General features: G+C 46.5%; 2 protein-coding genes across 13 annotated transcripts in view, besides 2 other annotated features; one reads left to right on the forward strand and one right to left on the reverse strand.

The window, feature by feature from the left end:
* SLX4 (SLX4 structure-specific endonuclease subunit) overlaps nucleotides 1-7,657 on the reverse strand; it is a 30,426-nt gene extending 22,769 nt beyond the window's left edge. For 3 of the 4 annotated variants that reach the window (XR_007064923.1, XM_011522715.4, NM_032444.4), the window contains exons 1-3: nucleotides 7,611-7,657; nucleotides 4,481-5,617; nucleotides 2,525-2,749 (exon numbers count right to left, since the gene is read on the reverse strand). Coding sequence is in view for 3 of the 4 variants with exons in the window: in XM_011522715.4 (XP_011521017.1) it covers nucleotides 2,525-2,749; nucleotides 4,481-5,015 (760 nt within the window). In the remaining variant the exon portion in view is untranslated. Of the gene's footprint in view, nucleotides 1-2,524; nucleotides 2,750-4,480; nucleotides 5,618-7,179 lie in introns of all 4 variants that reach the window. The other variant, XM_024450471.2, reaches the window with a different exon arrangement.
* Nucleotides 7,515-7,864: a silencer, noted in NCBI's record as "silent region_7137". NCBI's record gives its function as "represses an Ori minimal core promoter by ATAC-STARR-seq in GM12878 lymphoblastoid cells {active_cell/tissue: GM12878}" and the evidence as "EXISTENCE:reporter gene assay evidence [ECO:0000049][PMID:35858748]".
* Nucleotides 7,811-14,629, forward strand: part of DNASE1 (deoxyribonuclease 1) — a 53,702-nt gene continuing 46,883 nt past the window's right edge. For all 9 annotated transcript variants that reach the window (XM_024450170.2, NM_001387140.1, XM_047433677.1 and 6 more), the window contains exon 1: nucleotides 7,811-8,057. The gene's annotated coding sequence lies outside the window, so the exon portion shown is untranslated. The remainder of the gene's footprint in view (nucleotides 8,058-14,629) is intronic.
* Nucleotides 7,905-7,974: an enhancer, noted in NCBI's record as "active region_10330". NCBI's record gives its function as "activates an Ori minimal core promoter by ATAC-STARR-seq in GM12878 lymphoblastoid cells {active_cell/tissue: GM12878}" and the evidence as "EXISTENCE:reporter gene assay evidence [ECO:0000049][PMID:35858748]".

Genomic DNA, 14,629 nt, shown 5'->3' on the forward strand with positions numbered 1-14,629 from the left:
CTGGGTGTGGTGGTTCACACCTGTAATCCTAGCACTTTGGGAGGCTGAGGAGGGCAGATCCCCTGAGCTCAGGAGTTCAAGACCAGCCTGGGCAACATGGTGAAACCCCATTTCTAGTAAAAATACAAAAAAATTAGCCGGGTGTGGTGGTGGGTGCTTGTAATCCCAGCTACTCAGGAGGCCGAGGCACGAGAATAGCTTGAACCTGGGAGGCAGAGGTTGCAGTGAACCGAGATTGTGCCACTGCACTCTAGCCAAGCCTCTGTCAAAAAAAAAAAAAAAAAAAGTCAGTGTCATGGAAAACAAAAGGAAATGGGGGACTATTCTAGAATCTAGACCTTAGGATACTGCTGAGCTACAGCAATATGCAGTGTGTGAACTTACTGAATCCTTGTTCAGAAAAAAAAGAAACCAGCTACAAAAAATAACCTTGAGACAACCAGGGAAATTTGAGTTTGAACTGGACGCCAGGCACTATTATGGAATTAAGCGTGCTAATGGTATTGTGGTTATGCAGCAGAATCTAGGGGTAAAGGATCCTAATGTCTATAATTTACCTTCAGATAATATGGAAGAAAAATATGTACGCTTGGCTAGGCACGGTGGCTCACGTCTGTAATCCCAGCACTTTGGGAGACTGAGGTGGACAGATCACAAGGTCAGGAGTTCCAGAACAGCCTGGCCGGCATGGTGAAACCCCAACTCTACTAAAAATACAAAAATTAGCTGGACGTGGTGGTGCATGCCTGTAGTCCCAGCTTCCTGGAAGCTGAGGCAGGAGAATGGCTTGAACCCAGGAGGTGGAGTTTGCAGTGAGCCGAGATTGCGCCACTGCACCCCAACCTGGGAGACAGACCAAGACTCCATCTCAAAAAAAAAAAAAAATGTATATTTATAAAGACATAAACAAATGGCCAAATGTTAACATTTGTTAAATCTAGATTGAGGTATAGGGGATTAGGGGATTCATTGTAATTTTTTTTTTTTTTTTTTTGAGACAGGGTCTCACTCTGTTGCCCTGGAGTGCAATGATGCAATCACAGCTCACTGCAGCTCAACGTCCTGGGCTCAAGCAATCCTCCCACCTCAGCCTCCCGAGTAGCTGGGACTACAGTTGTGCACCATCATGCCCAGCTAATTAAAAAAAAATTTTTTTTTGAGTCAGAGTCTTGCTCTGTTGCCCAGGCTGGAGTGCAGTGGTGCAATCTCGGCTCACTGCAAGCTCTGTCTCCCAGGTTCACGCCATTCTCCTGCCTCAGCCTCCCGAGTAGCTGGGACTACAGGCACCCACCACCATACCTTGCTAATTTTTTGTATTTTTCATAGAGATGGGGTTTCACTGTGTTAGCCAGGATGGTCTCAATCTCCTGACCTTGTGATCTGCGCACCTCGGCCTCCCAAAGTGCTGGCATTACAGGCGTGAGCCACCACGCCTGGCCCCTAAAATTTTTTTGTAGAGATGGGGGTCTCACTATGTTGTCCAGGCTGGTCTCGAACTTGTGACCTCAAGTAGTCCTCCTGCCTTGGCCTCCCAAAGTTTTGGGATTATAGGCATGAGCCATCATGCCTGGCTTCATTGTAATTAAAACAACAACAACAAAAAAACCTTTTCTGAAAGGAAGAGTTCTTTGTGAATACTGAGGGTTATCTTTTTAAAAGGAAAAAACTGAAAGGGAAAGCTTTCATAATAAAAAGTCATAATTTTTAAAAAAAGGAGGCCAGGCACAGTGGCTCACGCCTGTAATCCCAGCACTTTGGGAGGCCAAGGCGGGTGGATCACGAGGTCAGGAGATCGAGACCATCCTGGCTAACAAGGTGAAACCTTGTCTCTACTAAAAATACAAAAAATTAGCCAGGCGTGGTGGTGGGAGCCTGTAGTCCCAGCTACTCGGGAGGCTGAGGCAGGAGAATGGCGTGAACCTGGGAGGTGGAGCTTGCAGTGAGCTAATATCGTGCCACTGCACTCCAGCCTGGGTGACGGAGCGAGACTCCATCTCAAAAAAAAAAAAAAAAAAAAAAAAGGAAGAGGGCCAGGTGCAATGGTTCACGCCTGTAATCCCAGCACTTTGGGGAGCTGAGGTAGGCAGATCACTTGAGGTCAGGAGTTCGAGACCAGCCTGGCCAACTTGGCGAAACCCTGTCTCTACTAAAAATACAAAAATTGGCCAGGTGTGGTGGCACACGTCTGTAATCCCACTGGCTGGGGCAAGATAATTGCTTGAACCTGGGAGGCGGAGGTTGCAGTGAGCTGAGATCATGTCACTGCACTCCAGCCTGGGTGACAGAGCAAGGCTCTGTCTCAGAAAAAAAAACAAAACGGTACCTTATCAAGGAAGCTAGGTGGGAAATGATCCCAGAGACTCTTCATTCTCTGGCTGGATCCAGTGAAGTGGCAAAGGTAAAACATCAAGCAGAGAGCCTATCCACAGAAGAAACTCAACAAATGCTGATTCCTTCCCGCCTCCCTTCCTCAGAGTTGTATTAACTTATCTCTGTGTGGAAGACAGAAACACACTCATCATACCATTCCCCGCCATCATCTCCTCTTGAGGATCCTTTGGGACATTTTCTTCCCGCGCAGCCTCGAGGGAGCACTCTTCTGAAGCGTGTCTCAAACGCTCGGGGTCTGCTCTCTTGAACTGCTGCATTCGCTGTAGGACCAATTGTGCTGTGCGGGGTTTGGAGGGACTTGGCACTGCTGTTGTCAAACAGGAAGGAGGAGGCTGGGAGTCGCTGTTGGGCACATTCTCTGGCAAGGAGGAAAATATTCACAACCATCTGTTGTAGCTGGAGAAATAAAAGACTTTTCTACCAGATACAGGTTAGACGCAAGTTTCAAGAGTCCTTTATCAACTAGTTTAGGTTTGACTCACAAATGTGAAGAGGACTGGTTGCTTGTTGGTAACCTCTTTGTTTATGGCAATATAGACATAAATATCAATAACAGGAGGGGAATGGGATGTGACTGCTAATGAGCATGGGGTTTATTTTTAGGATGATAAAACTGTTCTAACGTTAGGTAGTGGTGGTGGTTGGACAAGTCTGTGAATATACTAAAAACCACTGAACCATACCCTTTTAAATGGTGAATTTTATGGAATATCAATTATACCCCAATAAAGCTATTATTAAAGAAATATTAATGACAAAGGTTTATGTCCTAGATCAGTTCTTCTTTAACTTGGGATCCACGGATGATCTTCAGTGGGGATCCATGAACCCCATGAAGTTGTGTGCCAGTTTTGCAGATACGCGCATGGATACGTGTTTTGGGGGAACCATGCATAGATTTCATCCGACTGGCAAAGAGCACGAGAGACCAGTAAAGTTGGTGAGGCAACACTGCTGATGCCTTCCAGTAGTCTATGCGACCTGAGACTCTACCACCACTCTACTGAGAGGTTATTAAGATCAGGAAGTGAGGGCAAAGGAAATTTAGAAACAGAACTCAGGAGCTCAGAGAGCCCATGGTGTATTATATATGCAAGGGTAGTTTTCAGTTTTGCATGAAGAATGTGTAGTAAGCATATAGCTCAGTATACCAAGGGCAGCAGGGCAAGAAAACTGCTTTAAACAGTTAAAAAATTATCCAGGCACGGTGGTGGGTGCCTGTGGTCCCAGCTACTCGGGAGGCTGAGGCAGGGAGGACTGCTTGAACCTGGGAGGTCAAGGCTGCAGTAAGCTATGATAGCACCACTGCACTCCAGCCTGGGTGAGAGACCAAGATCCTGTCTCTAAAAACTAAGTAAGTAAATAAATCAATAACAATAACAAAGGAAAAGATTAAAAGGTCTTCAGAGAGAGAAAGAAAGAACCTGAAGATTCTCCTGGGACTTGAGCCCACACAGAGTCCTCATGCGGCCCTCTCAGCAGCCTATCCAAATTGGCTGGCCCAGTCCAACTTACCCACTTTGGAATAAATTCAAGAAAACAAGAGAAGCAGCATTATTGTGTTGTTTGTGTAACTCATGTCAATCATATAACAGAATTTCATAGGAAATTCTGAAAGAGCAGAGGACTCCAAACACAATCATGTGAAAAATTCACACGGGTTATGTTTTTCTTGACTGTTGTTTAAACCAGGAGTCAGCCGGGCGCAGTGGCTTACGCCTGTAATCCCAGCACTCTGAGAGGCTGAGGCACGAGGATTGCTTGAGTCCAGGAGTTCAAGACCAGCCTGGGCAACATAGTGAGACCTCCAGCTCTAAATTTTTTTTTAAGCTTAAAAATTAAAAAATAAAAACAAACCAAAAGTTAGCAAACTACGGTCATGTGGCTGGCTGCCTGTTTTTGTAAATAAAGTTTTACTGGCATATGGCCATGCCTGTTCATTTACATATTGTCCACGCCTGCTTTCTCACTATGACAGCAGAGTTGAGTAGTTGTGACAGAGTCTGTGTGGCCTACAAAGCCAAAATATTTACGATCTGGCCCTTTCCAGGAAGTTTTCCAGCCCCTGGTTTAAAAGAGTACAAATTACCTCTGGTTTTCTCTCTGGAAAGGTTTGGCGATGGTTCTTGCTGGTTACCCGTCTGGGTGTTTTGTGCTGTTTCCCGGAGCACAGGTGGATCTGGAGCAGAGGCAAGCACACCCCCCTCCCCATTCACAGAGTGGGCCGGTTCACTTGCTTGCCATTTGGTTACCCTTTGCTTTTTAGTCCTAGGGGCCTGGCTGCCAGACGGAGGTTTCTTCTCTGCAGGGCCTTGAAGGGTTTTGGTCTTGGTAGCAGTTTGTTTGGTCCTTTTCAATTTGCTTCTTATCTGAGTGCCGTTTGAGGCAGCCTTTTGTGTCTTCCTTTCTCCTGACACTTCCTTGATTCCATGTTTTTTCACCCTTTGGAAAAAGCTAGCGCAGAGTTCTTTAAAGTCCTCATCAGACTCATCCATCATCTGACCAGTTTTAAGGCTTTCAGGCTGGTCTTCAGAGGAGCGAGGGTCAATCCCAGGACAGGCAGACAGATGAGAAAGTGAACCCAAGTAGAAGCCTAGCTGAGCCTCATTCACACTCAGTTTCATTAGGGTTCTTCTCTACTTCTCCATTAGATACTTGGAGAGTTTGCACAATTGAACAAAAAGTACTGTTTTCCTCTCTATAATGATTGAAGTATCTTTGTTCAAATTGGGCCTGTGGTTAAACATGTTTAAAGCTTCCCTCTGTTAAAGTCCACAACTGGGCCGGGCGCGGTGGCTCACACTTGTAATCCCAGCTCTTTTGGAGGACGAGGCGGGGGGTGGATCACCTGAGGTCAGAAGTTCGAGACCAGCCTGGCCAATATGGTGAAACCTCGTTTCAACTGAAAATACAAAAAATTGGCCAGGCGTGGTAGCAGATGCCTGTAATCCCAGCTACTCGGGAGGCAGAGGCAAGAGAATCGCTTGAACCTGGGAGGCGGAGATTGCAGTGAGCCGAGATCGTGCCACTGCACTCTAACCTGGGCAACAAGAGCAAAACTCTGTCTCAAAAAATAATAATAATAAATAAATAAAGTTCACAACTGAAAGAGTGTTTTGTTGTCCAATAGATGCCTCTGAGATCGAATACATATGAACCTGGTGCTCAGATAATTCTCCAAGATCTCCATGATGATGAAACATATATGGTTCACTTAATTACACATCTGTGGAAAACCAAAAGCATGTAAGTGTAATCAGACATTGTCATTTTATGCCAGTTCTTCCAGGGAGGGACAAGGGCATGTGGGGTGAGGGAAAAGTCTTCGGAGTAACAATACTGTCAAATACTCAGTCCAGCCTGGTTAACATGGTCTAACCGTCCTATCAGACATCACAACAAAAGGACCTAGAAACCTGTCAAAGCATGTTGTTCTTCCACAGGTATTAAAATATGTGCATCTTGGGAGAGTGTTTTCTTAACTGAAATTTAGGGAGCAAACCCCATAAAAGGCAGTCACCACAGAAACAGGATGATCCCCAAATCTAGGAAAACTATCTCCTACACTGATCTAAGACCCCTGGCTGTTAAAGAGGCTCTTTCTGTAAATACTGCAACATAAGAGACAGAAAGAGACATTATATTCTCATGAACACTCAGGAGAGAAAAGGTCACTTTTACTTATCTTCTCAACCCAGCAAGGCTCTCCAAACCTGGATGACTGGAATGTCGCCTGTGTGCAAAGGCTGGGCCTCGTGAGCATGGTTGTTTACTTTGGCACACAGCTAAGTGGGGTTCAAAAATCAAAACTGAATGACCCAATGGCAGAAAGTTATTCCTTTCAAATACAATAATGCAATCTCCACTGTCCAAGGAATCTAATTAATCATTTTGTTTTCCAGAGCTGAAAATACTCCTACCTAGAATCTACTTTGTATGGCTGGCGCATTCTCTTCTGTGTCTTCCCCTTAGAGAAGTGTCCTCTAATCCTTTATGGACCGTCTCCATCCCCGTTAATCCCTATCATCGCCCACTGTTTTCACAATGGCATCTGTCATAGGTTATCATCATATGAAACAGGTAATATCTATCGAATGCTTACTGTGTGCCAAGCACTGTTCCAATTGCTTTCCAAGTCAAACTCGTTTAATCCTTACAAGAAGCCTATATGGTGGAATCTCTTGTCATCCTGTCTTTACGGCAAGGAAACACGCGCAAGCAGAATGAGGAACTGGCCTAAAGCCAGTTCAGGAACAGCTTTCACAGTGGCAGGGCTGGGATCAAACCCAGGAAGTGTGGTTCGAAACTATCCGCTCTTGTGTTTTTATTCATCGGCTTATTATCTGTCCCCCATTAAGCTCAACACTTCAGGAGGGTAGAGATCCATCTATTACTTTGCAACCTCTTTGGCTGATCTGGTGCCTGACTTGAAATAAGTGCTCCACAACTACTTGTTGAATTCATGAATTGCAAAGAGTTCGGTATAATGGGAGTAGAGAGAAAGGTGTAGGAGAAAACGCTGCGGGGAGAGGAAAGGATTGGCTCACAAGGGCCTGGAAGGTCAGGCTAGGCAAAGTGAATTTTATCCTGTTGGATGCGGGGAGCGGCTGGAACAAATTCCACCTCCACAACTGTGTTGATCTCCGCATCTCTGTTGATATGAACCTCACAACAGTCTATCTCCTCCTATAGGTGCCCAGTCAAGATTTACTGAATGACATAACGGATCCTGCAAGCCTGCAGGTTTCCAGAGGGAAGGGGACTTGTGCCTCCTTGCTTCGTACCTACCGCAGCCCACGGCTCACAGCAGGCGAGGGATGAATGAATGGATCGGTAAGGGGCGGACCCTCCCGCTTCCCCCAACCCGGCGACCTACGGAAAGGGGCTGAGGGGTTCCCCGTCTGGGAAAAGGGCTGCCAAAGACTCTAACGGCTCTAAAGTCAGACGGAGAACCCCGATCCCCGGACTGGCCCGGACGGAGACCACCGTGGGGATCCGGATCCGCCACCCTCCTCCCTCCAGGCGGGCCCCGGCCCCTCTCCACCCGAGTGCGGCTCCTGCCTCTCCGTCGGGGCTGCGGGCCTGCCGAGGCCACGGAGCCAGCGAGGGAGACGGGCGAGAAAGGCTCTTCTCCCTTAGGAAAGAGAGAACGGCCCGAAATGACAGGACCTCCGCCTCCCGGGTGCCGACTCCCAGCCCCACAGCCCGGCTCCTCCTACCTCCGGCGCCGCCGCGGCACCTTCTTAACGGAGACTCGCGCGCCTGCGCATGCGCCGCCCGCGCCCCCGCGGAGCATTGCCTGCGCGCAGGCGCAGAGCGGGCGCGCGCGGTGGTGCGGCAGCCTCGCTTCCGGTCTTCCTCTGCGGCGCCGGGCGCGGGCCCGCGGCGGCCAGCGCTTCCGGTCGGCAGGAGGCGGGGCGAGGCGGAAGCGGCGCTTGCTTCAGGTGGAGTCTGTTAGTTTTTGAGAAAGAGTTAGGGCGAGTTTAAGGCACTGTGGCAGCTGTGAGATAAAGTCTGGTTCCTCCCCAGCTGGCTCAGGAAATGTTCGCGGATACAACGGCGGCCCCCTCTGGGCATACCTGCCTGTGGAGCGGAGAGTGGACGGTGTGAGGGGGACCGGGAGAGGCACCAAATCTGGCCTGGGGGCCCGAGAAGCTTCCTCTCAGGTGGGGTGGCGTGAGAGTCGAGGCCTGGAGGTCGGGGAGGGTTAGCTACGTGAAGAGGGGATTCTGCCGCGCTTCAGGTGCCTGGAGGGGATGCCCGAGCTCTTCCGCAGGGCTAGGGTGAAGCCAGCCAGGGCCTGGGGGAAAGGTAGCAGAGGTTTGCCATGGCTTGGTATTTGAGGGACTTTACACATCGTATTAAGGGTTTGAGCTTCAACTTGGGGTCGTCGGGAGCCATTGAAGGTTTTTTGTTGTTTGTTTTTTGAGACGGGGTTTTGCTCTTGTTGCCCAGGCTGGGGTGCAGTGGCGCGATCTCGGCTCACTGCAACCTCTGTCTCCCGGGTTCGAGCGGTTCTTGTGCCTCACCTTCCCAAGTAGCTGGGATTACAGGCGCCAGTCACCACGCCCAGCTAATTTTTGTGTTTTTAGTAGAGACTAGGTTTCACTCTGTTGCCCAGGCTGGTCTCCAACTCCTGACCTCAGGTGATCCGCCCGCCTCGGCCTCCCAAAGTGGTGGGATTACAGGCGTGAGCCACCGCTCACGGCTTTTTTTTTTTTTTTTTTTAAGTAGAGACGGGCGGTGGGGGCGGGGGGGGGAGTCTCACTATGTTGCCCAGGCTGGTCTCGAGCCCTGGCCGCAAGAGATCCTCCCGCCTCGGCCTCCCAAAGCGCTGAGATTACAGGCGTGAGCCACCACGCCCGGCGTAAGATTTTGTTTTTAAAGGCCTAATTACAGTGAGAACAGATGAGGCAAGGACACCCATTAGGAGGCTATTACATAATCTAGATGAAAAGTGAGAGCGGCCCGAATTAGGAGGTGGAGCGAAAAGAATGGAGAAATATGGAGCATAGTCAAGACGCAGTTGTTAACGATTTGCCGGTTTCTGGCCTTAACATCTGAGAGTAGTGTGCCTCCAGTCACTGAAATAATGAACACAGGAGAGGTGTAAAGGAATCAGTTTGCAGGGCAGACAATATGTTTTTTAAAAGATACAGTATCATAAAATGCACACTAGAAGTGTACATTCAGTGGTTTCCAGTACGTTCACAGGATTTGCAGCCATCGTCGCTAATTCCAGAACGTTTTAAAACCCCAAATCGAACCTGCCGTACCCATTCGTAGTCACTCCGCAATTCCCCCGACCCCATCCCCTGGCAATCACTTATCGGCTTTCTGTCTCTGTGGTTTTGCGTATTCAGTACATTTTATGTAAATGGGATCATGTGATACTTGGCTTTTTCTGCTGGGCTTTTATTAAGCATGTTTTCAAGATTTCATCCATGTAGATGAATCAGTACTGCATGCCTTTTCATGGCTGCATAATCACGTGTTTGGATGGACCATGTTTTGTTTATCCATGTATCAGGTGATGGGCATATGGATGTTTTTACTTTTTGGCTGTTAGAAATAATGCTGCTATGAACATTCGTGTTCATAACACAAGTTTTTGTGTTCTAGGAGTGGAATTACTGGGTAAGACTACATTTGATTCTGAATGTTGAGCTTCAAAACCTTCCAAGAGGTTTTCCTTGATGAAGGATTTAGGAGGTGTTTACTTGCTCTCTGGCTTGGAAATCTAAGTTAGTTTGTAATATGGTTTCCAACTGGATAAAGAAGACAGAACAAGAATGATAAGCAGCCCAGAGGCAAGGGTAGGGCAGGGTGTCTTGGGACTTGAATTTATAGAGGAGACTGAGTGACGACATGGAGAGGCCAGTGCTGTTGAAATAATTTCTCTTTCCTTCCTTCCCTTCCTTGCTTCGTTTTCGACGGAGTTTGGCTCTTGTTGCCCAGGCTGGAGCGCAGTGGTGTGTGCAACCTCCACTTCCCTGGTTCAAGCGATTCTCCTGCCTCAGCCTCCGGAGTAGCTGGGATTACAGGCGCCCGCAACCGCGCCTGGCTAATTTTTTTTTTTTTTTTTTTTTTTGGACAAAATCTCGCTCTGTTGCCCAGGCTGGAATGCAGTGGTGTGATCTCGGCTCACTGCAAGCTCTGCTTCCCGGGTTCACGCCATTCTCCTGCCGCAGTCTCCCGAATACCTGGGACTACAGGCGCCCGCCACCACACCTGGCTAATTTTTTGTATTTTTAGTAGAGACGGGGTTTCACCATATTAGCCAGGATGGTCTCGATTTCCTGACCTCGTGATCTGCCCGCCTTGGCCTCCCAGAGTGCTGGGATTACAGGTGTGAGCCACCGCGCCCGGCGTAATTTTTTGTATTTCTAGTAGAGACGGGGTTTCACCATGTTGGCCAGGCTGGTCTCAAACTCCTGACATCAGGCGGGCGATCTTCCTGCCTGGACCTCCCAAAGGGCTGGGATTACTGGTGTGAGCCACCGCGCCTGGCCTGAAATAATTTACTTACATTTCTCAAGAAAAGGAGGCGTGCCACCACGTTCAGAGCCACAAGGGAGACATCAGCTTTTGGTTAGGAGGAAGAAATAGGAACAAGGAGAAAGTCTAGGCCAGAACCTTTATGGGGTTCCTCAGAAATAGCAAGTCAGGGCGGAGTAAACATTTTAGGATTGGATAATTTAAATAATTCCATCACGCTTTGCCTTTGGGTGGTCTCTAGTTGCTTGGTACCTGGCCATGGATGATTTAGGGCAGGAGAAATACTGGCTTGGTGTGTGAGAGTTAGATAAAGGGGGGAGGCTGACTTGCCTGTGAGAGGCATGCTCCCAAGTAAGTTGTTTACTGTCTTGAGGAATTAGACCTGGGAGAGGCAGTCTCCCTGCCAGCAAGATTTATTAAGATTTCAAAATATCATAGGATACAGAAAATTTTTTTAAACATCTAATAAACATGGACATGGCTGGGTTATGAAGGATAATTGTAATGGTAGAAATTACTGTTTTCCAGTCAGACTGAAAATGAAGTGCCTGTTTCCTATTTAGGATTTAAATCTCTTAGAGTCCTGGTGAAGAAAGTCTTTGCTACCTCTCTCCCCCAACCCCAAATCTGGCTATATTATTTATTTACATAAAATAAATTAGTTGAAGTGTGGTTTAGAAAAGAGAGTTTTCTTAAACCTGAGATTCTCAACTGAATCACCTGTGGAATTTTTTTTTTTTAATTGGAAAGGCTGGGACACTACTCTTAGGCCTACTGAATAAATCTTTCAACCTGTGTCTTTTGAAAGTTTCACAGATGATTCTGATGGTCTCAAGATTGAGAAGCACTGCATTTAACCAGCACCAACTGAACAAACACTGTAGGCTAAGTATAAGAGAGATGGCAAGAGCTGGGTCAGGGTGGTGCATGGGATTTCCAATTATACATAATTCCTCCCTTCAATGAACAAAGCCATCCATAACTGGGGCACCTGCTTCTTTGGGCTAAAGGTGAACAATGGCAGCCACCTTGTCCTGGACCCTATTGTGACTGTTACTCCAGCAGAAGCCCTGGGGTTCATGCTGTTAGTTAGAAGTCACCCAGTATGACTAAGTTGAGGGGCAGTGTTCAGAAACAGTGTTACTAGATGGATGTTATTTCAGTAGGAACAGTATTGTGTGTTCCCTGTCAGCATTTGAGGCGGAAACCCACTGCACTGTCAGAACAACCAGGGAGATGAAAGAAGATGTCAGATACTAAAAGGTGCAGACAGTCCTTGTGTTTGGTAAACCTTACAGGGTTTATCTGAAAGAGAAAATGGATGCAGAAGTACATGAAAAAACTGTGTTATTCCAAATAGATGTGCTGTTTTCCCAGTTCATAGGAGTCGGTAATTTTTGGGTTCAGGGCAAAAAGGCAAAGGTTGAAGATGCTGTGATGATCACGTCCTTACCCTCCTGGAATATTTCCTTTTTGAAAGCTTCTGGCATCTTCCACTGAGTTCATGTTTTAAACAGTTGGGAGGATGAATTGAAGGGCCCTTATCCCAGGTCTGTGGTTTGATTATAAATGGTAAAGCCATAACCTGTCCACCTCCCTCTCCTTTATCTTGACAGGGGTTGGGGAGACAGCAGATTGAACAAGGAAAGAATTGTCTCCTGAGTTCTTTGATCATGTTAACTTTTATTTACTGTTGTATAGTCACATTTTCTAGACTGCTAAAATTGGTGAAATCAGGACAGGAAATAACTGTTTTTACGTGTATAAGTATACAAAAGTTATTCGAGATGAGTTACACTGCATTTCTTTCAGTGTGCTGCCTGCCACTGCTGCCTTTGTGTGATTTTGCTCTATATGTTCTGCTAGACAAATTTAAGGGAGGTTTCAGACAGCAAAACTCCCCCCAAAGCATCTACCAGCATAATCCCTATCAAAATCCCAACAACGTTTTAATTTTTTTGCAGAAGTGGAAAAACCGATGTTAAAATTCATATGGAATTGGCCGGGTGCGGTGGCTCACGCCTGTAATCCCGGCATTTTGGGAGTCTGAGTCAGGCAGATCACTTGAGGTCAGGAGTTCGAGACCAGCCTGACCAACATGGTGAAACCCCATGTCTACTAAAAATATAAAAATTAGCCGGATGTGGTGGCAGGTACCTGTAATCCCAGCTACTTGGAAGGCTGAGGCGGGAGAATCCCTTGAACCCAGGAGATGGAGGTTGCAGTGATCCAAGATCACAACACTGCACTCCAGCCTGGGTGATACAGTGAGACTGTGTCTCAAATAAATAAATTAAATAAATAAATAAATAAATTCATATGTAATTGCAAGGGGCTCTTAATACCCAAAACCCAAATAGCCACTTTGTTCTTTTTCAAGAACGTACTTCCTTATATCAAAACTTATTACAAGCTATAGTAATCAAGACTGTGTGGTACTGTACCAGCATAAGGATAGACATATGGGTCAGTGGAAGAGAATTGAGAGTCTAGAAATAAACCCTTATATTTATGAGCAATTGATTTTGTCCGGGATGCCAAGACTAGTCAATGGTGAAAGAGTAGTGTCTTCCACAAATGGAGCTGGGATAACAGGATATCACATGCAAAAGAATGAAGTTAGACCCTTACCTCATATCATGTACAAATATTAACTCAGAATGGATCAAAGACCCAATGGAAGAGTGAAAACTATAAAACTCTTAGAAGAATACAAGGGTAGGCTGGGCGTGGTGGCTCACCCCTGTAATCCCAGCACTTTTGGCATCACCAGAGGTCAGGAGTTTGAGACCAGCCTGACCAACGTGGAGAAACCCCGTCTGTACTAAAAATACAAAATTAGCAGGGCGTGGTGGTGTGCGCCCGTAATCCCAGCTACTCGGGAGGCTGAGGCAGGAGAATCGCTTGAACCCGGGAGATGGAGGTTGCGGTGAGCCGAGATCGCACCACTACGCTCCAGCCTAGTCAACAAGAGCGAAACTCCATCTCAAAAAAAAAAAAAAAAAAAAAAAAAAAGAATACTACAAGGGTAAATCTTTATGACCTTGGAGTTGGCAGTAGACTCTAGATATGACACTAAAAGCAGAAACAACAAAAAATAATGAATTGGATTTAATCAAAATTAAAAACTTTTTTGTGTAAAAGTATACTATCAAGAAAATGAGAAGACAACCCACAGAATGGGAGATATTTGTTAATCATATACCTGATAAGAATCTATGCTGCTGTCTAAATGTTTATGTCTCCCCCCACCCAATTCATATGTGAAGGCCTCAACCGCAAGGTGATGGGATTAGTGCATAAGGATAAGGATGGAGGCCCTTGTGGCCATGTGTGGTGGCTCATGCCGGTAATCCCAGCACTTTGGAAGGCGGAGGCGGGAGGATTGCTTGGGCCCAGGAGTTTGAGACCAGCCTGGGCAGCAAGGTGAGACTCCATTTTTACAAAAATTTTTTTAAAAAAAGAAAAGAGGCCCAAGAGAGAAACCCCCTACCCTTTCTGCCATTAGAGGAAGTGGGCCTTCACCAGACAGAGTCTGCCAACACCTTGATCTTGGACTTCCCAGCCTCCAGAACAGTGAGAATTTCTGTTGTTTATTAGCTACCCAGTCTGTGGTATTTTGTAAGAGCAGCCCAAATGGACTAAGACATTCTAGTAGCACAATATAGAAAGAACTTTTACAACTCAATGAAAAGACAACTCAGAAAATGGGCATGGTAGAACTTGTCCTGTGAAGAAGCCAAGACCAAAAAAAAAAAAAAAAAATGGACATAGGACTTGAATAGACATTCCAAAGAGTGGCAGGTGCCAACAAGCACATGAAAAGATGATCAGCATCATGAATCGTTAGAGAAGTGCAAATTGAAACTGCAGTGAGATACCACTTCATGGCCAGTAGGACAGCCATTTCCTAAAAAAAAAAAAAAAAAAGTATTGGTGAGGATGTAAGGAAGTTAGAACTCTGATACATTGCTGGAGGGAATGTAAAATGGTACAGCTGCTGTGGGAAACAGTTTGAGGTTCCTGAACAAGTTAAAGATAAAATCATCATATGATTCAGCAATTCCGCTTCTAAGGATATGTCCCAAAAAATTGAAAAAGTGTTTAAGGGCCAGGCGCGGTGGCTCACGCCCGTAATCCCAGCACTTTGGGAGGCCAAGGCGGGCGGATTACCTCTGGTCAGGAGTTTGAGACCAGCTTGGCCAATATGGTGAAACCCCGTCTCTACTAAAACTATAAA

The sequence above is a fragment of the Homo sapiens genome, chromosome 16 (assembly GCF_000001405.40).
Source record: "Homo sapiens chromosome 16, GRCh38.p14 Primary Assembly".
In the NCBI taxonomy this organism is placed as follows: domain Eukaryota; kingdom Metazoa; phylum Chordata; class Mammalia; order Primates; family Hominidae; genus Homo; species Homo sapiens.